At 43.2% G+C, this 24,574-nt stretch overlaps 1 protein-coding gene across 3 annotated transcripts in view, besides 1 other annotated feature; it reads left to right on the top strand.

Moving 5' to 3' along the window:
- Nucleotides 1-24,574, top strand: part of RERE (arginine-glutamic acid dipeptide repeats) — a 465,237-nt gene that overhangs the window by 414,586 nt on the left and 26,077 nt on the right. The gene's annotated exons all lie outside the window — the stretch shown is intronic.
- Nucleotides 7,127-7,326: an enhancer, noted in NCBI's record as "active region_102". NCBI's record gives its function as "activates an Ori minimal core promoter by ATAC-STARR-seq in GM12878 lymphoblastoid cells {active_cell/tissue: GM12878}" and the evidence as "EXISTENCE:reporter gene assay evidence [ECO:0000049][PMID:35858748]".

Below are 24,574 nucleotides of genomic sequence, written 5' to 3'. Positions count from 1 at the left end.
TGGTGGTGCGCGCCTGTAGTCCCAGCTACCAGGGAGGCTGAGGCAGAAGAATCACTTGAACCCGGGAGGCAGAGGTTGCAGTGAGCTGAGATCGCGCCACTGCACTCCAGCCTGGGAAACAGAGCGAGACTCCATCTCAAAAAAAAGCGAAAGAAACTGGATCATTGGTTTGAATACCCCTTTCCCAGCACCAGCGCCCCCCAGGCAGTTTTACAGGTGAATATACCTGATATTTAATTAACAAATCTTTAAGCTATTTCTCAGAGGCTAGGAAAAGAAGGCAAGCTTCACAACTTTTTTTAAAAGGCTAAGTTTAACCTTGATCTCAAAACCATATAAATACGATCTAAGAAGGAAACATTTTTTGTAGGCCAATCTCTCCCTTCACCAAGCAAAACATAAACGTCTTAAGTGGAATATTACCGAACTGAACCCAGCAATGTATAAAAAGTACTACATGGTGAGCAAGTAGGAGTTATCCCGGGAATGCAAAGATAGTTACCATGAGAGACTCTAGTCTTGTGTTCCAGCTGTCCACCGTTGCATGACATACCATATCAACCCATCCAACCTTTTTGTTCTGTTTATGGATTCCATGGTTCAGGAATTTTGAATGGGGCAGTAAGGGTGTCTTATCTTTGTGCCGTGATTTCTGGGGCCTCAGCTGGGAAGACACAAATGGCTGTGTGTGACATAAACAGCTGTGATCTTCTTTACTCACATTTCTGCCACCTGGCTGTGATGGTGACTCTGAGGCTGAGCTCGACTGGGATGGAAACCTGGCGTACCTATACTTGGCCACTGCATTTGGCTTGGGCTTCCCACAGCATGATGGTTGGCTGCGTTCTGTGGCCATTTCTGACCTAGCCTTAGAAGTTACACAGCGTTGGCCGGGCGCAGCGGCTCACTCCTGTAATCCCAGCACTTTGGGAGGTCGAGGCAGGTGGATCACGAGGTCAAGAGATTGAGACCATCCTGGCCAACATGGTGAAACCTCGTCTCTACTAAAAGTACAAAAATTTGCTGTGTGGTGGCGCACGCCTGTAGCCCCAGCTACTCGGGAGGCTGAGGCAGAAGAATCACTTGAACCTGAAGGTTGAGGTGGAGGTTGCAGTGAGCCGAGATCATGCCACTGCACTCCAGCCTGGCGACAGAGCAAGACTCTGTCTCAAAAAAATAAAATAAAATAAAATAAATTTACACAGCATCACTTACACTGTGTTGTATTGTTTACAAAGCAGTCACTAAGTCCAATTCACATTCAAGGGAAGGGAAAGTAGGCTTTTTTTTTTTCTTTTTGGATAGGGTTTAGATGTCGTTTAGGCTGGAGTGCAGTGGTACATCACGGCTCACTGCAGCCTCGACCTCCCAGGCTTAAGCAGTCCTCCCACCTCAGCCTCCCGAGTAGCTGGGACTGCAGGTGCATGATGCCATGCCTGGCTAATATTTTTATTTTTTGTAGAAATGAGGGCTCTCTCTGTTGCCCAGGCTGGCCTCGAATTTCTGGGTTCAAGTGATCCTCTTGTCTCAACCTCCCAAAGTGCTGGGATTATAGGCATGAGCCACTGCACCCAGTTATAGACCCGATATTTATTTGTTTATTTATTTATTTAGTGACAGGTTCTCACTCTGTTGCGCAGGCTGGCGTGCAGTGGCAGGATCTCGGCTCACTGCAAACTCCACCTCCCGGGTTCAAGCGATTCTCCCACCTTGGGCTCTGGAAGACCCCATCTTTTGATGGGGAGTTACAAGGTCACATTAAAGATTATGTGAGGTGGGAGATACTGTCTTGGCCGTCTTTGAAAATGCAGTTTGCTACGTAATATAACTCACTGAGAAACAAGTGCATTTGTTTTCATAGTTGCATAAAATTCAGTGGGTGAAATGCAGTGTTCTTTGTAACGATGACTTATAGAAGACTAGGAATGACAGGACATGTGCTTAATGCAAAAAAGAATAACTCCCAAAAACTATTAAGTGACATATATATATATATATATATATATATATATATATGGTTTTTTTTTTTTTTTTTTTGAGACAGAGTCTCACTGTGTCACCCAGGCTGGAGTGCAGTGGTGCAGTCATGGCTCACTGCAGCCTCAACCTCCTGGGCTCCAGTGATGCTCCCGCTTCAGTCTTCTGAGTAGTTGGGACTACAGGTGCACGCCATCACGCCTGGATAATTTTTGGGTTTTTTTTTTTTTTTTTTTTTTTGAGATGGTGTTTCACCATGTTACCCAGGGTGGTCTTTAACTCCTGGACTCAAGTGATCCTCTTGCCTCAGCCTCCCAAAGTTCTGGGACTTTAGGCGTGAGCTACTCATGTAGCCCCTATGCATCATATTTAATGGTGAAACTGTCAGTCCTTCACTGAAAATAAAGAGCAAAATAAGGTTGCCTACTGTCATCACTAATATTAGACTCTTCACTCAGATTTCTATATGACACAATTGGACAAAGACCCTATATATGTGTGTTTATAGAAAAGTATATAAATATATGGCCAGGTGAGGTGACTCACTCCTATAATCTCAGTGCTTTGGGAGGCCAAAGAGGGAGGATCACTTGAGGCCAAAATTTCAAGACCAACCTGGGTAACATAGAAAGACCTCATTTCTACAAAAAATAAAAATATTAGCCGGCCATGGTGGCATGCGCCTGTAGTCCCACTACTTGGGAGGCTGAGGTGGGAGGATTGCTTGAGCCCAGGGGTTCAAGTTATAGTGAGCTATGATCATACCTCTGCACTCCAGTCTGGGTAACAGAGCATGACTTTGTCAAACTATAATATATATGTACACACACACACACACACACACACACACACACATATGACACAGGAATGGAAAGGAAGAGACAAAACTGATTTGTAGGTGATATATTTATATTAAAAATGTAGACACTTAATTAGTGGAGCAAATGAAAATATAGAAAAATTTTACAGTTTAAAGATTTTTAAAAAATTGGTAGTATTCCTATGGACCACCACCAACAAAGTAGAAAATGTAATATATTAAAAATACTGAGCCGGGTGCAGTGGGATGACCTTGTAGTTGCAGCTACTCAGGAGACTGAGGCAGGAAGATCACTTAGGCCCAGGAGTTGGAGTCCCACCTGAATGACATAGTGAGACTCTGTCTCTTAAAAAAAAAAATGCTGTTCACAGTGGCTACAGAAACTTATAGTTTATAAGATTCCTAGCAGTAAGTACAACAAATGATATGCAAATTCTTTATTTTTTTTTTTAAAAAAAGACATAATAAAATATTAAAAGACCTAAAAAAAAGACGTAGATAAATGGAGAGATGATGCGCCGATGTTAATGGAAAAAGTACTCTGCATTATAAAGATCCCCTTACTCTCTCATTGCTATATCATTTCAATCAAAACTTTAACAGGATTTTTTTGTGGAACCAGCAGACTGATTTGTGTGGTAGAATAAAGGTCCAAGAATAGCAAGAAAATTGAGTAAGAAACAAGGAAGATAGGCTTTATACAAATGAGATAAGACTTGTAAAGTTAGAGTAATTAAGACCTGGTGGTATTGATGCAAAATAGAGACGTCAGTGTAATGGGGGCAGAACTATGTGATATCCGTGGGGAACTAACCAATTATTCAGTAAATGGTTTGGGACCAATGGGCTTAGCTGGCATATGGGAACAAAATAAAATAAGATTGTAACTTTCAGATAAGTTAAAGCCAGGAAAAACAAGACTTTAAAACTGTAAGAAAATAGAACATTTTAATGTTCCCTGAGTAGGGAAGGGTTTATAAGAAATAGTACAAAAAGTACAACTCAAAAAGTAAATGATAATATATTTATCTATATTAAGACTTAAAAAGTCTGTGTTTTATAGGAAACCATAAAGTGAGAAAAAAGTGACAGACTGAGAGAAGATATTTATAACATAACTGGATTAGTATCTAGAATGCATGAAGAACTTGTAGAAATCTATAATAGACACAAGCAGTTCAATAGAAAAATGGGTGAAAGATGAGAACAGGTAGTTTTAGCTGAGAAAATCTGAAAAGTCTGCAAAGTTTTGCAGCCTCACTAACAGGGAAATGCAAATTAAAATACACATATTACTTCACACCCGTTATATTTACAAAAAAGTTTATCAGTTCTAAGTAGAAGTGAGGTTGTTGAAAAGCAGGTACTCTCATGTACTCCTAGTGGCCGCGCACATTGATGCACCTGTTTGTTGTTGAGATATGAAGTGAAAATCACAGATACCTGTAAAAATAGCAAATTTTTCGATGTATAGCAAGGCCCTGTGCCAGATTCCATGGGTGTAGTGGATTGCATACCCAACTGGTCATCAGAGTCACCTGACAAAATCTGTTTTTAGGCTGCGTATTTTCTGGTGATCTTCCAGAGTTGGGGAAGACTCCTCCCCCACACTAGAGTTCAGTGAATACTTCACTGGGGAGTCAAAACATAAATACGCATGATAAATAATAAGAAAAAGGAAAAATCATTTAAGACTGATAACAGATGTTAGAAGCACTACGTGATTAATTGCCAAATAAATTGTAGAGATGGTCGTTGTTAATAGAAGAGGATCTTATTTTACACTGGGGCGGTCAAGACACACGTCAGGAAGAAGCTGAGACTTGAACTAGGCCTTGAGTGATGGGGAGATGGTGAGAACCAACCCTGAGCAAAGCACACAGGAGAGCAAAGCTATGGAGATTTCATCAGCCACACTCAGTACTAACCCCCTTGCCTGAGAGTCAAGACCTTTTATACTGTGGTCCAAATCAGCTTCTCCAAGCCCCTTCCCTACTGCTTTTCTTTCTGCACCTCTGGCCCTTGCCAAACACTCAGGCTTCCTGTCTGCCATTTCTTCCTGCAGTGTTCTGCCCAGAATGCCTGCCCTTCTGTTACTCCATGTGGAAATGCTCTACATTTTTAAACTTAATTTCCTTCATTAATCTTTCTCTAATCTGAGGAGGATATAACTCTGTCCTTTGAATACCCCTGTAGAACATCATGCCTCTCTTAGGGCCTTTCTCTGGCTCTGCATTGTCTTATGAAATTCTATCTTACACCTCCCTTTTTGGATTGAGCTCCTGAAGGCAAGGACTGTCTTACTCACATTATCTTCATCATGGTGCCTTGCACCTAGATGCTCAAGAAATATTTGTATGATTGAATTAAAGTTGAAAGTTGCAGTCAATCTTTTTGAAGATTATTCTGGCAACAGTGTGTATCAGAGAATAAAGAGCCTGAAATCAGAAAGTACAAATAGCAGAAGGTCTTGGGGGATGGTGCCCAGTAAGAACAGGAAAGATCAGAAGAGTCAGGAACTTACTGCATATGGGGGAGGAGGTAATAATGGTCTAAGGCGCGTGGATCCTCAAGGCTTAGAGAACTGAGAAGCCAGCAGGAAATAAAACTGTAGCACAGTTGGGTTATTGCCATTTTGGTGACAGTTTCATGTGTTTTTTTTTTTTTTTCCTGTGTGAGTGTGATTTTGCTCAACATGAGTTTGGTAACTGGGATCAGAAAGGTTTTGTTCCTTGGTACATTTTACAGAATGGTTGCTAAGCCAACAGAACTCAGAATTGAGTTCAAATCCCAGCTATCCCACTTATTCTCTGGGGGTTTGGGGTAAGTCTCTTAGATGCTGTAAAATTTAAGTTCCTCAGTAATGAAATGGGGGCACAAATAGAACCTCCCTCAGAGTCGTAGTGAAAGTCGAATAAGGCAGCAGTGATTGAGCTCTTATTATGCACTAGGCACTGTTCTAAGCACTTGAACTTACTTAACCTTCATAGCATCTCCATGAGGCAAGTGGTGGTGTTGCCATCACAATACGTGTGAAGAGAAAGGAGGCAGAGAGATTATGATGACTTGCCCAAAGAACACAGAGTTCACACTGAATTGGAACTGGAACTTGGGCAGTGTGGTTGCAGAGCACCCAGTCTTAGCTGCTGTGCTGTTTCTGACTCAGTATCTGTCACATAGTAAACATTCCATTAGAATCAGCTCCTGTTTCTCCTCCCAGGGAAGACACACAGTACATTTTGCCTGAGATAACTGTCTCACCAGATGTGTATACAGTCACGTGGTAGACTGGAAAGCACATTTGTGAGTGTTAGTTCTCATGGTCCTTTGAGTTTTCCCTTACCTTTAAAATGCAAAGATGCTGTTGAAAGTGAATAAACTGATACTGTGGAGAAAGCATGATATATCACAAAGAATGCCATTGTGGAAAAAGTTCACTTTGACTGCTTAATGAGGGGGAGGGGTCTCCTTTGGGGGATGATGAAAGCGTTTTGGAATTAGATCTGAGGGCTGCACGCATTGTAGATGTATTAACTGCCTCTGAATTGTAAACTTTAAAATGATTAATTTTATGTTATGTGAATTTTACCTCAATAACAATTTTTTTAAGTTAATTCGAGTTGGGTTTTACCTTTGGAAGTATAATTACAAAGCGGGCAATACTTCATGCTGTTAAAATTAAACTTGATTTATTAGACGGCTGACTGCTTCCGTTGTTATCCACAGCTGAAAAGGAGATGAAGATCCTGCTTGTAGCTGAGCAGTCTTTAGAAGTCTGCTGCATTCTTCCCAAATTCCATCACTCTAGTCAAGAGTAAGAGGATTTGATAATAGGGGACTGGTTTCCTCTCGGCTCTGTGATAACTGGGGACTGGTTCCAGGAGGGCAGGTACTTTGTATGTGAGTTTTCATGTACTTCACATTATGTCCATGTCACGTTCTTCAACTTGATCAGCCTTTGAATTTTGGCATGGACAACAAACTCCACATTGAATTCAGCTCTAGAAGCTGGGATTCAAATTTGACCCCAGAATGGACCCCAAGTGATAGCACAGCAGCCCTTCCCCCCTCCCACTTTCCTGATGGTAGAAACAGGATAATTAGCATAGGTTTTCAAGAGATGATCTCTGCTCAGTTGTTCTGTGCCTTCTCACTTGTCACTAAGGCTCTTAGCCCTGGCTTGAAGGCTTTTGCTAATATTTCTTGGGGAACAAAGTCTTTCTCTGGAATCCATTCAAGGTGGGTAGTTAATGGAATGGCTGTCCTTTAAGCACAGAGAGAGGGGTGGTGTCACCTATGCCTTACAGAGCAGAATAATAATAATAGAATTGGTCCTCGTTCGAGTGTTCCTTCTCAGATTTGTGCTCCCGTGTTCCTTGGGCACTCTCACTGGCTAATTCTCTGCAAACATCACAACTCAGGCATGGAACCTCTCATACTTCCTCCTGTGCCCCCACTGCAGGCCTTCAGTGCATGGTGGTGGTTTTGGTTTTGGTTTTTGTTTCCTCTCCTCTCCCGTTTTAGAAACACGGATGTCTTATATTCCCACAAAAGAATTTAGGAAATTAACCTGTTTACAAAAAGGTCCACACAGGTTTGACATTGCTTCCTCAAAGCACCTTGTTCACAGTTGCCCTTCTAGGTCAAGCTCACCTTCACCTTTTTTTTTTCCTACCTCCAGCTTCAAATGTCTCCAGGTGCCTGCATAGCTGAGCAGGAGAGGTTCCTTTTTTATGCAGACAAGACCAAAGAGGAAATTGTTCATTCTTTTTTTTTTTTTTTTGAGACAGAGCCTCACTCTGTTGCTCAGGCTGGAGTGTAGTGGCGTGATCTCAGCTCACTGCAACCTCTGCCTCCCGGGTTCAAGCTATTCTCCTGCCTCAGCCTCCCGAGTAGCTGGGACTACAGGCGTGTGCCACCACGCCCGGCTAATTTTTTATATTTTTAGTAGAGATGGGGTTTCACCATATTGGCGAGGCCGGTCTTGAACTCCTGACCTTGTGATCCACCCGCCTCGGCTTCCCAAAGTGCTCAGATTACAAGCATGAGCCACTGCACCCGACCCGGAAATTGCTCATTCTTTGGTATTATTATTTTTAGTTTCTTTGTACTTGATTTATTCTGTGGGCAGGAGAAGGGGAATATACAATATCTTATTACAGGAAATACTAGACACCTTATCTGAAAGTTTAGTAACAAACTTCCCTCATGGAATGCCTTTGGGCTGTTTGGCCCTTAAAATATGTTTTCTTTTTTATTTTATTTACATTTATTTACTCACTCAACCACTCAACAGACGTTTGAGTTTCTATGGGAAAGACATTTTAGATAGATGCTGAGGATATAAAAATGAGTAATACAGTTTCTCTCCCCTTAAAGTATTAATCACCTGCTAAGAAATGCAAACAAAAACCAAGTGTAACTGTGGTAAGTGCTTCATGGAGATATAATATATATATATACTAGTAGTGGATTTTATGGTTTACAGAGCAAGTTAACGTATTTTTTTCTTATTTCCTTGGGGTAACAGTCTTCTGAAGCAATTGGGTGACTCTGGCTGAGAGTTGGGACTCAGACCTTATGATTTGTCACTTTTTTGTTGCTCATTCCCCCTCTCCAGCACTGAGTGATGTGGGATTCCATGACTGATAAGTTTGTTCTCTGCAGTAGCTCCTTTCTTAAGTTAAATTACTGGAAAACGGAAATGTGTGTGAATTCCTTTTCCACTCCCGCTGTCCTTGGACAAATTATTTCATCTCTCTGTGCTTTAGTTTTCTCATCTATAAAATGGTGATAATATTATCTGCTTCCCAGGACAGTAGTGAGAATTAATTGAGTAGTTGATGGTCAGAATGATCTTGCCTGTATGTAGTTGTCGAACTTCAAATATTTTGAGAATCTGAAAAGCAAGAAATATTTCTCAAAATTGTTTAATTTGGAATTGTGGGCAGTATGTTTAGCATACTTCCAATCAAGATTTTGGTGAAGCTTTTTAATAATGGGGAAAGCTCTGTATAGTGTTGTGTGCAAGATGAATTGTGTCTGTTTACATTGGATTTCAGCTCTGTCCTACCTGTGCAGTTAGAGCCACCTGCATTAGAAATTGAAAGTTGGGATTATAGAATGTCAAGAAATGGCAGCTAATTTGGTTTTCCCAAAGTATAGGTCACCATCCTTCATCTTGTCTTTCTGGTCTCAGGAGCCCTTAGTGGAGAAATCAGGGATTTTTCTTGGGTTATGGTGTATAGGATTTTGCAGTGTTTTAAGTCCCCAGGTGGAGATTGGAGGTGGCCAGCCTTCATGGCAAAATCGTGGGCCTTGAGCTCCTATCATCTGAAGCTTCTAATTGCCCTTCAAATTATAAACAAAAAATGAAGGAAGTTTTAAAAGGTATTTTTATATGTTAATATATTTTCTTAGCAACATTTTCAACTCTATATAGTTTTTACTTTTACCTGGATACTAGTAATCCATAGTTGATTTGATGCCATTAAACTTTCATTCATGTAAATTGTCTCTGTATTATGTAGTTGCCCAGTTCTGGATGCATCAGAGTTGAGGGTTGCTATTTTATCTTACCTATGCTTTTCAAATAATATTGATAACAGAAATAACCAGAAATGGACCTTGCCTGCGCTTGGGTCCATTTGTTGGGAGATGCCCATTATGCTTTATGAACACTGTGTATTATTCTTAAAACACCTTGAGCTGTTAGAAAACCAACCCCATTTTATGAGTAGAATTAAACAGGACTTGGAAAGGGGGAGTGCTCACCCAGAGCAGTTTAGATTGAGTCAGCAAGAGAAAGGAGGGTCCCCTAAGCCACTGCTCTTTGTCATGCTACGGTCCAATCAGAAAGGCCCAGATGATGTGGATGCTATGGTTCCTGGCTTTGGGCCCCCAGTCACACAGGCCACGCTAAATAGGATACTGCATCTTACTTGGCATTTATTACCCTTGATGGAGGCGGAAATAAGAACTGTTGTATTTGGATCTTCCTAGAGCAGTTGGTGAACTGATGGTGCACTAGACTAAAAAATTCACAGAAACATCTGGAAAGGTAAGATCAAGTACTATAAAGTGTAGGACAGTTTCTGGCAAAGTAGCCTCCTTCTTGGTAGGTTGAGTCTTTGGGAACTTGGGGACGAATCCCTGCAGAAGTCCAATCTGAGCACCTTGCTATTCCTTCTCATGAGTAAGCCCACCACATTCTCCTTCTCCTACTTTCAGGATAAACTTCATCATGGTATTTTGGTGCACATCTTCATTGGGTAGTATCCAACTATATTTTCCACCGTCTCTACATGGTTTAGAATCCTTTCATTTTCTATGAAATGGAAACCCTTGAAAATGCCCCCAGAGAATGCACATCGTGTTCTCTGCAGCACTCTGTATCGCTTGCTTTGGTCAGAGGGCTGCTTCACGAAGAGCTGAAACTTTGCTCGCAAACATCCCTCCAGGGCTGGTAATCTTCCAGACAGGATGGCCCACTTGATAGAAATGTTTTCAGCACAACCTTGCAGCAGATGTTTGCTCTGGTGTGCTGGCGTAACAGATGCTGACCATATCTCTTGAGGGCCTCCACGTCCCTCATAGATGGACTCTACTGCTAGTGTGAGTTATGCGTACTTCAGGGCCATAATTAAAGCTCCTAGATGGAGGGGTGGGGGTAGATACTGGCTGTGTTCAAAGTGGGTGTTTATGGTTGATAGGAAAAGGCAAATGTTTTGTCTTTGCTGAATTTTTAGAAAGCTAGGAATGAAGAATGAGACCCAGGGGAGAGGAAAAAGTTTTGGCTAAGTTTGTTTTTATCTAGATAGATAGATGGATAGACAGAGAGATATATAGATAGAGATATTCATTTTCCAGGTTAGGTAAAAATATAAGCATAAAAGGATTTTTTTAAAAAAGGATTTTGTTAGATTCACCTTTTTTTATTTTTTCAATTGTGTATTTTGTTTATTTCTATTTCTTACAAATGCCCTCTGTGACATTTTTTGGTCTCAAGAATGAGTCATTAACCTGAAACCTCTTGAGCATGTACATGGCTTTTTAGGTTATTTCTTTACAAGGTAAGTCAAGTTGTTATTAGATTTCTTTATACTCATTCATCTTACAGATATTTACTGAAGATCTGTAGAATGCTGAACATTGTGTGAGTTGTGAGAAATGCAGCAATAAACAAAAGACATGTTCCCTGGTTTCTAGAATTTTATTTATTTATTTTTTCTGAGGCAGAGTCTCACTCTGCTGTCCAGGCTGGAGTGCAATAGCGCGATCTTGGCTCACTGCAGCCTCTGCCTCCCAAGTTCAAACGATTCTCATGCCTCATCCTCCCGAGTAGCTGGTATCACAGGCACCTGCTACCATGCCCAGCCAATTTTTATATTATTTAGTAGAGACAGGGTTGGCCAGGCTGGTGTAGGACTCCTGACCTCAGGCGATCCACCTGTCTCGGCCTTCCAAAGTGCTGGAATTACAGGCGTGAGCCACCATGCCCGGCCTCTAGAATTTTAATTCTATGAAGAAGACAGATTAGGTGAATAATTAGATATATAATTATAAATTCTCATAAGTGCAATAATGGAAATCTGCTGAGTATTATGAGAAATCATAACAGGGGGACCTAACTTAAGAAAGGAATATCTGAAGATATTTCAGTTATGACCCCAGAGATGAGGAGGGAAGGATAGAATCAGAAGAGCCCCCCAGGCCAAGGGATCAGCCTGTACAGAGGCCCTGGAGAAGGATAGGCTTGGAACTCAGGGGAAGCTGAAAAAGTAAGTGTAGCTGGAGTGTGTGGAGCAAAAAGGAGAATGGAGAGGGGTGAAGTAACAGTGATGGGGAGAGGTCAGGTCATGGGGACCTTGTGTGCTCCATGGCAGTAATAGGATGTCCTGAGGGCCTCTCAGGTGCCAGGCACTGTTCTCAGTGCTTTACATACATCGGTTCATTGACCACATAGATAGGAGGCTGTGTAACTTACCCAAGTATGTACAACTTGGAAATACCATAGCTGGGATTTACTCTCAGGCAGTCTGGCTTTAAAGTCCATGCTGTTGAACACCTTGCTAGAGTTTTGTGCTGAGAATGTGACAAGTTGATAAGGAATCTCAAACAGGGAAGTAACATCAGTTTTCCTGTTTATTTTGTTATTTTTAAGACACAGTGTGGAATTTGGGTTGTAGTAGGTCAAGGGGAGTGGAAACTGAGCGCCAGGTAGGAGTCAGTGTGATCATGGAAGGTGACCCCGAGATTGGATGAGGGTGGTGGCAGTTGAGGCAGAGAGAAGTAAAGTTTTTTTTGTTTTGTTTTGTTTTTTTGAGATAATATTTTGGAAGGCAGGATTGGTGAGATTTGGTGTTGAATCAGAAGTGGCAAATCAGAGAGGACAGCGTCAGGGAGGACCCCCCGCTGGCACAGAGCCACTGGGTAGGGGAAGTGCTGCTTGTTAAGATGGGGAGGTAAGTTTAGGAGGGAGAAGTGAAGATCAGGAGTTCCCTCTTGTATAGCTGGTTTTGAGATGTATGTTTGTTTTATGGAAGAATGGATTCAAAATGTACATAGTTTTTAACTGGATAAATATGATTTTTTAAAAATAGTTTTAAAATATTTACTAGATAGAAAGGAATTAGTTGGGAGAATTTTGGACTTAGGTTTCTGGGGCTCTGTCTTCACTATTTGTTTGGGTCTCTGAATGAGGCTGATAAATTAGTGCCCCTTCTTCCTTCCCCAAGTTCTGAAGAAAGAGAGATGGGTTCAAAATATTACCTATAGTTATTGATACAGTTCGGACTATGGGACATAGATTAGTGGGCAGGGGAAGAGCCTACCCTGGAGAAGAGGATCAAAAAGAGCAGCTAGCTCCCAAAACTACCAGGGCGCTGAACCATGCATGCCAGGTTTGTTTTTTCCACTCTCCAAATAAGCAGCTTCCCTACCTGGGGTGGGGTGACGACTGGCCAGAAGATGTGCCAAAGGCCTCTCTGTACATGAGTGTAGCTGTCTGGAGTGGGGTCTCTGCTCTTCTGTATGCCGTCGTTCTTGTCAGATGTGTCACAGGATGCCTCTGGGTTCAGATGTGGCGTGGTTGGTTGTGGCACATGGCTCTGCTTCAGGTCACAGGATGACTGTTTCTAGGTCTTGGATTTTAGGTGTCTGGTATTGGTTTTCCTTTTTCTGGTACATGCCCACCTCCTTATGTTAACATCCTCACTGTCTAACTACTCTTGTTCTTAACCCGTGATGTATTTTCACTCCTGCCAGAGAAATTCAGTCTAGTTTGGCTTTGTGTCTTGACAGGTCCACAGAGAGATTGAACAGGATCCTAGGGGAGATACTCTTTGGCCATTGGTGGTTGGAGGTGATGAACTGTTTGCAGAAGTGGATGCGTTTAAGAGACAGGGTCGTCATTGCTGCCCTGATTTCTCCTCACAAATGGAAAACTATTAATGTATACAAAACAACGTGCACTTAGCTGACGGATTGTTTTATTCGCATACTACAGTTGGGGCTTCATTTATAGAGGGAAGTGGTGAGGTTCCCTCCATGCGACCTTCCGTGGTGGCTCCCCGACTTCTCCTCCCAACATGAACCTCAAATTGACTGCAAAGCATGGGTTACCAAAGAGAATTCCACCCCTTCCTCATGGTTTTTTGTTAGCATGTGTGGCGGTAGGGGGGTCTTGCCTAAGACCTTTTTTGTGTTGTTGTAAACAAGAGGCACAGTGACCTTGGCTTTTCGTGCTAGGGTGCGCCTGCTGGGATTCCCTAAAGTAGGGGCATCCACTGAGCCGCACAGCAGCAGAAATCTAGAAGTAAATGGACGGGGTGGCACAGAGGTTTCTGAAATGGCCGTGAATAAAGAACAAGGCGTTGACGTCACACGCCAGTGGATGCTGGGGATGAAGGTTTTAGTACCTCCCGTGTATGTATTTAGTTTTTCAGGTTTTACACAGACATGAGAGTGGGTTGACATGAGTTCACAGACATATTCTTCATACCCCTGAGGCTACTTGTGCTGTAGATTATATTTGGAGACTGTTGACACCTATGGAGTAGTCATTTTCGGCCTTATCTAGAAGCACAGCTCTGCTTATTTTAGACTGATTTTGATAATTTTGAAGATTTCATGTCACCCTTCCCAGCTGACACATGTCTTTCTAAGAAGTGTCATTTCATAAGCACTGTACTTTCCTAAAGATAATACAATACTCAGGAAAACAGTGATCCTAAGAAAGAGAAGGGAGGTCATTTGGGTTTGAAGAGCAGGGACACAGAAGTGTGCTCCCAAGTGGGAGTATCCCTGCAGTGGGTGTGCTGTGGAGCTCGGACAGCACCTTTAGAGTGGGCGGGCAGGTGGCAGTGGGAAAAGTGAGGTCAGGTGGAAGAGAAGTCATTAAACCCCTTACCTAGCTGTCTAATGAGCAAGGAAGCACTTGCATATCATTTCCAAATTATCTGTAGAGAAGAGAAACCTTTCTTTAAATGCAGAATTGGAATATATTTGACAATCTTCTGGTTTAAATTTTTTTTAGTTAAATATTGAAGAGTTACAAAAGAATATAGCATTTGTGTATGGTATAAAAACAGCCACACGGTGAACTGTCGCCACCACGCAGCTTAAGATTGCACAGACTGGGCCGGGCGCGGTGGCTCACGCCTGTAATCCCAGCACTTTGGGAGGCCAAGGCGGGCGGATCATGAGGTCAGGAGATCGAGACCATCCTGGCTAACAAGGTGAAACCCCGTCTCTACTAAAAATACAAAAAATTAGCCGGGCGCGGTGGCGGGCGCCTGTAGTCCCAGCTACTCAGGAGGCTGAGGCAGGAGAATGGCGTGAACCCGGGAAGCGGAGCTTGCAGTGAGCCGAGATTGCGCCACTGCAGTCCGCAGTCCAGCCTGGGCGACAGAGTGAGACTCCGTCTCAAAAAAAAAAAAAGATTGCACAGACTGTTTCCTCTCCGGTGCAATCCCCTGTCCTTTCCACGCAAAGATAACCACTAGACTGGGTATTCTGCTATAACCCCCCTCCTTTTCCTTATGGCTTGCCTCATATATGTGTATTGCTACACAGTATATTAGTTTTGCATGTCTTTGAACTTCCTATGAATGGAGTCATGGAGGAAAAATGTCCTGCACCTTGCTGTTTTCATTCCCCTTTATCCCGAGAGGCAGCTCTGCATCCTGTGGTACTTCACAGCCTTGTATGAATAGAGCGTCTTTTCCTTCTCTTTTCTGCTGTTGATGGACATTTCAGTTGGTTCCAGTGTTTTGCTGTTGCATACAGTTCTGCTGTAAACTTTCTTGCACACATCAACTGGCACACATGCACACGAATTCTTTAGGGTATAGTTAAGACAATTTTTGAGTTACAGGTATGCGTATCTGCTATTTTACCAAGAAAAGCAGATTGTTGTTTTTCCAGCTGTATGTAAGAATTCCAGTAACTTCACATCCTAGCCAACACTTGATAGAATCAGACCTTAAAATGCTTACCAACATTATAAACTTGAAATGTCTGAGTGATTTTAATTTGTATTTCCCTGGTTTCCAGTCATATTGAGCATCCTTTAATGAGTTTATTGGCTATTTGTGTTTCCTCTTTATGAAGGGCCTATATAAATCTTTTGCTTACTTTTCAATTTGATTGTCTTTTTCTAGATTTGTAAGAGTTCTAGATACTCATCTTAAATAATGTGTGTTGCAAATACCTTCTGGCTTGTGGCTTATCTTTTCACACTTTTTATGATTGGTTAAAGATTAATATGTTGTTAATTTTAACGATTTTATCCTCTCTCCTTAAATGTATCAGCCTTTATACTTTGAGCTTTTATTTGTTAGAAATCTCTCTTGGTCATTTAGGCAGTCTCCTATACTTACTGTTTTCTAAAAGTTTTATAATTTTGCTTTTCGTATTTAAGTTCTTAGTCCGTGGGTTTGGTGATTGTGTAGCATAAAGAAAGAGACCAGATTTACTTGTTTCTGTAATACATCACCAGGTGTCCCAGTGTCATCTCTGGAGAAGTCCAGCCTTTTCTCCACTGATTTGTGTTGCCAGCTATGTCAAAGTGAAATTTCCATAAGAGTGTGAATCTGTTTCTAAGCTGTTTTGTTCTGTTGGTCTCTCTGTCTATTCCAGTGCTTCACTGTCTAGCTTTAGGATAATTGTTGATAGTTGACTTAGCAGGTCCCCTACCTTTTTCTTGTTTTTCAAGAGTGTCTTGATTAGTGGCACTTTATTCTTCTTTAAAATTTTTAAAATCAGCTTGTCTTGTTCCACAAACTAACCAGCTGGGATTTTGAATGAGATAGTGTTGAATCCATTTGAGTACGTTCCCTTTATCCGTCTTTTTTCTATTTGTGAAGTCCTTTCAAGTCATATTTTTATCCTCTTTCCTTTCCTCACACTACTTCTGCACCCAAAGTTGCAGCTTTTCCCCTGAGAGAATATATAGTAGATTTCAAAACCTTTGTCTTCTGTGTTAACTCTTTGAGGTAAACTTTACTTGAAAATCCAACACAAAGAATTTGGGCATTTGAGGAGTTTGTATTTCCCTGGTTACTAATCATATTGGGCATCCTATAATGAGTTTATTGGCTGTTTGTGTTTCTTTTTCATGAAGGGCCTGTGTAAGTCTTTTGCTTATTTTTCAATGGATTGTCCTTTTCTTTTTCATTTGTAAGAGTTCTAGATATTCATCTTAAATAATGTATGTTCAGTTCACTGCCTTCAGAAAGGAAGCTCTCTGGCTGTTTGGGATTCTGTCTTGGCTGGGTTTCAGAGCTCAGGCCCAGGGAGTGGAAACCCTTATTTGTGTGGCTTTACTGTCTTTATGAGACAGGGCCACACAAGCTCATAGGATCTCAGGAATGTTCTCATTATTGATAATGCCCAATGTGGGAAGAATCTCTTGGCTTGGGATGAGAGGGGTTCCTAAGAAGTTCTCTTGGCTCTATTTTATTCTTATGATTTATATAGGAGCAATGGTAATTTTTTAATTTTTTTATTTTTGGTCTCTCTGATTCTAAAGAAAAATTTGGAGGAGAGAATAGTTAACTGTAGTCCTACAAGTTTTCTTAAATATCTTGATATTTTGAACAGTTGGGATATAAGTATTCATGAAATTTATAAAAATTTTTGTCTTCACCTACATGGAAGCTTAGAAACTACTGCTCCTTTGTGGTTCTTTTGACTGCTGTGAACCAAGAAAAAAAAAAAAAAAAAAAAAAAAAATATATATATATATATATATATATATATATTTTTTTTTTTTTTTTTTTTTTTTTTAAGACGGAGTCTTGCTGTGTCACCCAGGGTGGAGTGCAGTGGTGCGATCTCCACTCACTGCAAGCTCCACCTCCCGGGTTCACGCCATTCTCCTGCCTCAGTCTCCCGAGTGGCTGGGACTACAGGCGCCCGCCACCACGTCCAGCTAATTTTTTTTTTTTTGTATTTTTAGTAGAGATGGGGTTTCACCATGTTAGCCAGGATAGTCTCGATCTCCTGACCTAGTGATCCATCCGCCAAAGTGGTGTTTTCTTGTTTGTTTGTTTGTTTGTTTGGTAGAAGGCTTCCCTTCAAGAAATAAAAGCTCTCCGGGTAGCTGGTCAGGCGTTCTGAGGCCACAGTTGGTTGTGTTTTGTTACATTGTTTTGTTTGGTCACCAGGAGCTGGAAGTACATCATTATCTGATACTCTTCAGGGTCCTTTTGGCATCTGGGTAATTCCTGTATTTCCTTTGTGTTAATGTAAGGCAGGATTTAAAACTCCGTGGTAGCCTGCCCCTGCTACCATTCAGTTTTTTGCAGTTGCATCCAGGGTCTCCCTTGGATCAGTTGTGATTTCTGCTTAAGGCACAGAGTCAACTTTCCCTGAGGCCTCTTGAGAGTTCGGAACCCTCTAGCTGCACAAAGCACAAACGGGCAGTCTGAAACTCTTGAGGAAGGAAGCATGGGGCTGTCAGTAGAAGTTAATAATCAAGTTATTTGTTACACTGTGATGGGTGTTGATATTATTAATTCAATTGCCCATTTATATGTGAAACTCATTTTGATTTTAGACAGTGAACATGTTAAATTCTAAGATACAATTAGAATAATTCAAGAGATGTATTTTCCTCGGTGCTTCCCATAAAGAACAGCATAGACCCAAGGCCATGCTTGACTCAGTCTTGCTAGGAATTCCAAGGAAGGAAGATGGAGGACACAGGACCTGTGGCTGGCAGAAATCGCCCTGCAGAGCTGCTTTTAGATGGGCCCAGAAGGAAGGTGCAAGCACGAGAGACTTGTTAGGTGCTGCCTTGAGTTCAATTTTAGATTGTCCTTGAAGTCAATGTGGTTGTTGCATCGGCTGAGAGCTGTGCCCATGACTGGCATGTTGATGGCCAGCTGTTGCCCTCTGCCACTCAGGAACGCTGGTCACATGCCACTGCCATTCCTGCCCACAGCAGGAGACAGAAAGTTTAGCTGGGAGTGAAAAACAAGTAGCCCAACCTCTTTATTAGTAGCCTTCTGGAACAGATGAGTAAGAGTGTACAGAACTGTTAATTGTCTGTAACTAGAGGGAGCAGAGAAAATGCCTTCAAAGCATCTGGTTGTGATGTCACAGCCTTCTGATCCAGATCATATGTGACAAGACTTTTTAAGTGATATTCATCAGTTCAGATATTCATCACTCCTATCTGGAGTTAGCATACAACCGCTCACCTTTGCTGTTACCTTAAGCAGATCTCATTTACCTCTTTATTTGCTGCTGTATGAGAGCACTGTTTAAATGATTGCTTGAGTTCCCAGGAGAGGATCCCTGCTCTTCTTATTAATGCCCCTTTAAGATACAGGTGTTTTAGTACCTCATGGCATCCAGAGAAGCATGTTCCTTTTCTGAGCACGTCAGCACATCTCTTTACCCCTACAGAGGGGACAGATTACAGAACTGACATTGTATCCCACAAGAAAAAACTAGGGCAGCAGGAACAGGATGCGCATGACTCAGGGAGAGACTGGACCTCCGTGCATCCCAGCTTACATGTTCCCAGTCACACAGCCTAGAGGGGTAGAGGGACAGCCACGATGTGGAATAAACAGTAAGACCCCGACCTGAGGAAGCAGTGGACCCAAGGAGGCTTTGGGGTGAGGCGGTTGATTGTACAACCTGTTCCCTATGCTCTTCTCAGCATCAGAAACACAGATTCTTTCAAGCTTAATTCTAAAGAGTCTTTAGACCTTTCTACTACGAGAGTTTGTAATCTAAGCCACTAATTTTCATTCTGGAGTTTGTGACACTCTAGTGAGCCCCACATTATCATAAGTGAATATTTTTAAAATTCGGCAATAGAATTCATTGTAGTTTGGCATACATTTTTATTTTATTTTATTTTATTTTATTTTATTTATTTTTTGAGACAGAGTCTCACTTTGTCACCCAGGCTGGAGTGCAGTGGCGCAATCTCAGCTCACTGCAACCTTCACCTCCCGGGCTCAAGCGATTCTCCTGCCTCAGCCTCCTAAGTAGCTGGGAGTACAGGTGCGTGCCACCACACCCGGCTAATTTTTGTATTTTTAGTAGAGATAAAGTTTCACCGTGTTGGTCAGGCTGGTCTCAAACTCCTGACCTCGTGATCCACCCACCTCAGCCTCCCAAAGTGCTGGGATTACAGGTATGAGCCACCGCACCTGGCCCTTGGGCATAAATTGTAACATAAGTGTATGTTCTTCGACACATTTAAGAGTGGAGTGATGGTGTCATAAAATTAAATAATGGGATGTTCTAAGTCCCTTAAGCTGGACCTTTCCAATCTGTGCATCAAAGCTAATTCTGCATTAAAGTGCAAGGACGGCTCACAAACCCCATAGTTGCCTGATATAGATTGGCAGGTGCATTCTCTTGGTTTCGTTTTTATTCCTGCTGAAATGTTTAATGATCTTGTGTGGCGTCATTCTGTTGCCGATTGTGTAAGAGAGAAGCTGGACCTGGGTGGAGACAGGCTTCTTAGGTGGCCTCAGTGGGCTGTTGGGCATTTATGGTTCTGCTGGTTGCAGCTGAGATCTTCAGACAGAATACTCTTCTCCTTGACCAGCGCTTATCTTTCAGATTGTGAACTAGGCCCAGACACCATTACCATTCACCATCTCTAACATTCTCTTATTCTTTGACTACATAAGGCACTGTCGTTCTAGGGGAAACATGATAGAGGAAGGAAGTTGGTTGCAGAAACCATTCTTTGAAAGACTTTTTTTTTTTTTTTAACTTAGTCAATTAAAATAGTCCTTTAAGGTGAACTTAGTTCTGAGTTTCTGGTCCTTTTCCCAGATGGAAAAGGATTTTCAAGAAAAAATCCTGTCACTTACTGAGCATGTGTGCCGGCTCCTTTTTGGCACTTCCATCCTCACCACAACCCTATAAAGGAGGGAGCTCGTGGCGAGGCAGCCCAGGTTTCTAGATAAGGAGAGTCTCGAGGAGGTTCCTTAACCTTCCTGTGGTGGTTTTTCTCCATTTTTAAAATGAAGAAACAGAGGCCAAGAGAGGTTAGGGAATTTGCTCAAGGTCGTGCAGCCAGTGGCAGCTGTTCTCACTCGGAGTTCTGAGAGAGGTAAGCCTCAGAAGCCGGGCATCCATTGTGTGTAACGTAGTAACGTCTTGCCTGTGCATCTAGAAAGGTACCTGTTATGTTCCGTTCATAGGAGAATTGAGAAAATATTAATAGTCACTTCATTTTAAGAACTCCAGTTGAAAAAGGCTAGACAGTCAATGTTTGTTCATTGTTTTTCTCCATTCTTCCCCAGCATGCGCGCTCTCTCATGCACACGCACGCATGCGCACGTGGCTGAGCCAAAGCCTAAGCTGCGAATTGAGTTTCGTTAATTCATGTGGAGGCAGCTGAGAGTGCCACCTGGTCCTGAAGAAATTGGGATACTTGTGGGCACAAAGGTGGACCTGAGATCACTGGAGCCAAGCTGGTGGAAGTGTTGACCACTGCCGTTGGCAGAGAGCTGTCATTACTGGTGCTTCAGGCCACAGCTCAGCAGGCTGTCCTTGTTCTGTTTTGTTAAGAGCCTAGCAGCATGGCTAGCTTGCAGGCATAATCCCAGAGCCTCTTGCTATCTGCCTGCAGGAAGTCTCTATGTGCTCCAGCACACTGAAGGAATTTGGTGCTCACTTTCTCCTGCTTTTGAGCTTTGGTCCTGTGTTATTACTAATCCTTAGAGGAAGATTTTGACTGTAACCACTTTCCTGAGTGCTCTTAAGGCAGGTCCAGAGGATTCTCACAGCGTGAAATGAGAAAACGCTCAGCCTCAGAAAAATGGAAGTTATTCTTTTAGTGCCAAAGTGTCATTGGACCACAGTGCAGCTTGGTTAATTCAGGTTAAGACTTAGCCCCTGGAACAGTGTCAAGCCAAGGCCTGTGTGGTTTCATCATAGATTTGTAAAACAAAAAACACGTGTGTTCTGGTAAATTCCAAGCGCACATTAGTGCATACGTGTATGTGCAGGAACACTCCCTGTAAGACTCTTGTTCTCATTTCACACTGGCGCGTCCCCGGGGCTGGGGAAATCATTTTCATTTTTGAGAGTAACCTTAACTAATTAAATGGATCAAGGGACTCTTTGTGTTTTGTTTTCATTTTGTTTTGTTTTTTACTTTAATGTACAGATAAATTAAGGGAAATAATAATTACCTTGAATAATTTTGATTCTCGTAACTAATTTTCCACCTATGTGTGTTTAGCTCAATTTTGAAATGGTTCACTGAAAGATTTCCAAATTTCTTATCACTGAAACTGAGTTATTTCACTTTTATGACTGTTAGTGACTCCTCTGTTTTATGTATTTCTGGTGCAGTATAATTCTTCTATGTCTGTGTGTCTGTGATAGATCTCAGTTCAAGTTAGCGTTTCCCGAGCACCCATCTTGTGTCAGGCACTCTGCTAATGATTGCGCAGGTTACAAGGTTTAGAGTGGCCACATCCCCTGTTCACTTGCAGTTTAGAGTCCAGTCGGAGGAAAGGGAGGAGGGGAATCATGTTATAGACATAACTTGATATCCTGCAGGACTCAGTGATGTATGAGCCACAAAAAGGTCACAGCTGAGTGAGAGAGTTGGTAATCATGGAAACAGGCGCATCGGAAACTCGCTTCCTATGGGTCAGTAAAGTGTGTATGAGGTGGTGTGGATGACAGCACATAGAGCTGGAGGGGTGGGCCAGCAGCAACCAGGAGAAGGCGTTCCAGGTGTCTGCACCCAAGGAGATCCTGGGGTCAGAGGCAGGACATGTGGGAAAAACCATTGGTCCCTTTTACCCAGGGAAGGACTCAAGAAGCCGAACGTGGTAGGAGATGGAGGCTCCCAAGCCCTGGCAGACGTTACAGCAGCGCTGAGCACTTTCAGGACCAGGACTCCAAGGTCCAGCTCTGGAACGCCCCTCTCTGCCCTGACTTTGGTTCCTTCATCAGCAGAGGGGCTCCTGGGCTATGGGCTCAAGTCTGAAGTCACCTTAAAGAGAAATCTCTACCTTTCTGTTCTCCTTCATTGCTGAGGATTTTGACTTGTGTTGAAAAGTTTCTGAAGCTTTCTGCAGCTGGAAAATCAAGCTTTTAAAAAAGCTCTTGATGGGCCAGGCTTGGTGGCTCACGCCTGTAATCCCAGCACTTTAGGAGGCCAAGGCAGGTGGATCACGAGATCAGGAGTTTGAGACTAGCCTGGTCAACATGGTGAAACGCCATCCCTACTAAAAATACAAAAATTAGCCAGGTGCGGTGGCACGTGCCTATAGTTCCAGCTGCTCAGGAGGTTGAGGGAGAAGAATCACTTAAACCCAGGAGGTGGAGGTTGCAGTGAGCTGAGACCATGCCACTGCACTCCAGCCTGGGCAACAGAGCAAGGCTCTGTTTTGTTTCGTTTAAAAAAAAAAAAAAAAAGCCTGTTGACTTTTGGGAGTTGTGTCTGGGACCTAGGCTTGAGCAGTGAGGACGCAGAGCTCATCATCAGCATGGCTTGCTCTGAGGCTGTTAGAGATTCTCATGCCAAGAGAGGCAGGCCTTTTGCCATGTGGGCATGAAGGAAAAAATTACTTCCCGAGAGAGGGCCAAGGGCACCTTTGCATCACAGACCAATCCCAGCATAAACATGCATGGGTGGGAGGGATGGGGTTATGGTATGTTCTGGGAGCACAGTGACATACCTCCTCCTGCCACATGCCATGTCAGCCGTGAGGTGGGCGTTGGAGTGGGGTGACTGAGGTCACCCATCATGACAACAGTGGTGATTTGTCTCCAGAACAGGAGCGGCCAGGATTTGATGCAGGCTAAGGTGTGCTGTGGTGAGTTTGTGGCATACGTGCTGCATTAGGTGAAGTGATCCCACCCAGCCCCGCAGGCTTCCCCACTACACAGCGTGTTGCAGAGATCTAGGTCCATCTGGCATTCAACTTGTGTGTTAAATGGAAAAGGGAGCTCCTGGCTCTCCTCTGGGGAGTTAGCCCCATCATCTTTGCAAATTCCCTTTGGAGTAGGGAGCGGTTTCCTAGAGTCTCTAGACAGTGACCCCCGCGTGCCCCCTGTGGGCCCCACATGCATAGCAGCCTGCATGGGGTGGCGCTGCCAGTCCCACACTTCCTGGGCCTCTTAAGGGAGAGCCAGCCGCCCTCTGTAAAGAACCTTTGAGGAGACCTAGATATGGACCAGGAGAGAATCCGTGGAGCCCATATCACAGTCACAGTCACAGATTCGGAGATCCATGGCTGTTTTCATAAATTACACCCGAACCCCTGGTGGTTCCCGTTGTGTGTGTTTTCTCAACTGCAGTGTGTCTGTTGATGTGAGGAACCCAGAACAGTGGCTTGGAAACCCCTGGAACCACAGAGCTGTGGTGGTCAGAGAGCCTCACACATTTGTCTGTCTGTGAAGTATGGGCTGCATGACCCTCCTTTCCCCGGTCGCAGCTTCATGGGAGGCTGTGCGGGGCGGGCCCAGCCCCATGGAGCTGGGCTCTTGCCTGTGGAAACTGACCAGAATTAAGTGGTCAGAAACAGGCCCACAGAGACTCTGGAGGGTTCTTCCTTTGTGTTCTGCTGGCAGCAGTTTTCCTTCCCATCTTGTGGTTCTCTTCCTTCCCCCGTGTCCCTTCACGCGAGCCAGCTGTCTTTAGATCCACAGCATCTGAGAGCTGTTCTGGAGTTGGGCTGGTTCTCCTGGGTCAGAATGCAGCCGTCGTGAGGGAACTGTGTGGCATTTGCCCTTTAGAGCTGCTAGGATAAGCTGCGAGGTTTGGCCCCACTTAAAGTAGAAAATTATTTTGCTGTTTCCCACATTACTCTACCCTTTGGCACCTGTTCTTCTCCCCCAGCAGACTGCATCTTCACTGCTGACAGTCAGCTCCATGAGCCCCGTCTCACAGCCCAGGGCTTAGAGGTTCATTCAGCAGGCCTCACTTCTCTGCTGGTTCCTCTCCTTTCCTCGAGGCTCACCATGAAGCCCTGTCCTTAGGCTTATGTATTAGTCTGCTGTGGTTGCCATGACAGAATACCGTAGACTGGGTTGCTTCAGCAACAGAACTTATTTTCTTACAGTTCTGGAAGTTGGAAGTCCAAGACCAGAGTTCAGTAGGGTTGGTTCTCCTGAGGCCTCTCACCTTGGCTGTAGATGCCATCTTCTCCCTGTGTCTTCCCGTGGTCTTCCTTCTGTGGGTGTCTGTGTCCTCATCTCTTCTTATAAGGACACCAGTCGTACTGGATTAGGGCTCACTTGACCTCATTTTAACATAATCACCTCTTGGAAGAG

The sequence above is a fragment of the Homo sapiens genome, chromosome 1, assembly GCF_000001405.40.
Source record: "Homo sapiens chromosome 1, GRCh38.p14 Primary Assembly".
Classification (NCBI taxonomy): Eukaryota; Metazoa; Chordata; class Mammalia; order Primates; family Hominidae; genus Homo; species Homo sapiens.
Note: the sequence above shows the minus strand (reverse complement) of the source record. Positions and strands in the feature narration are given on the sequence as shown.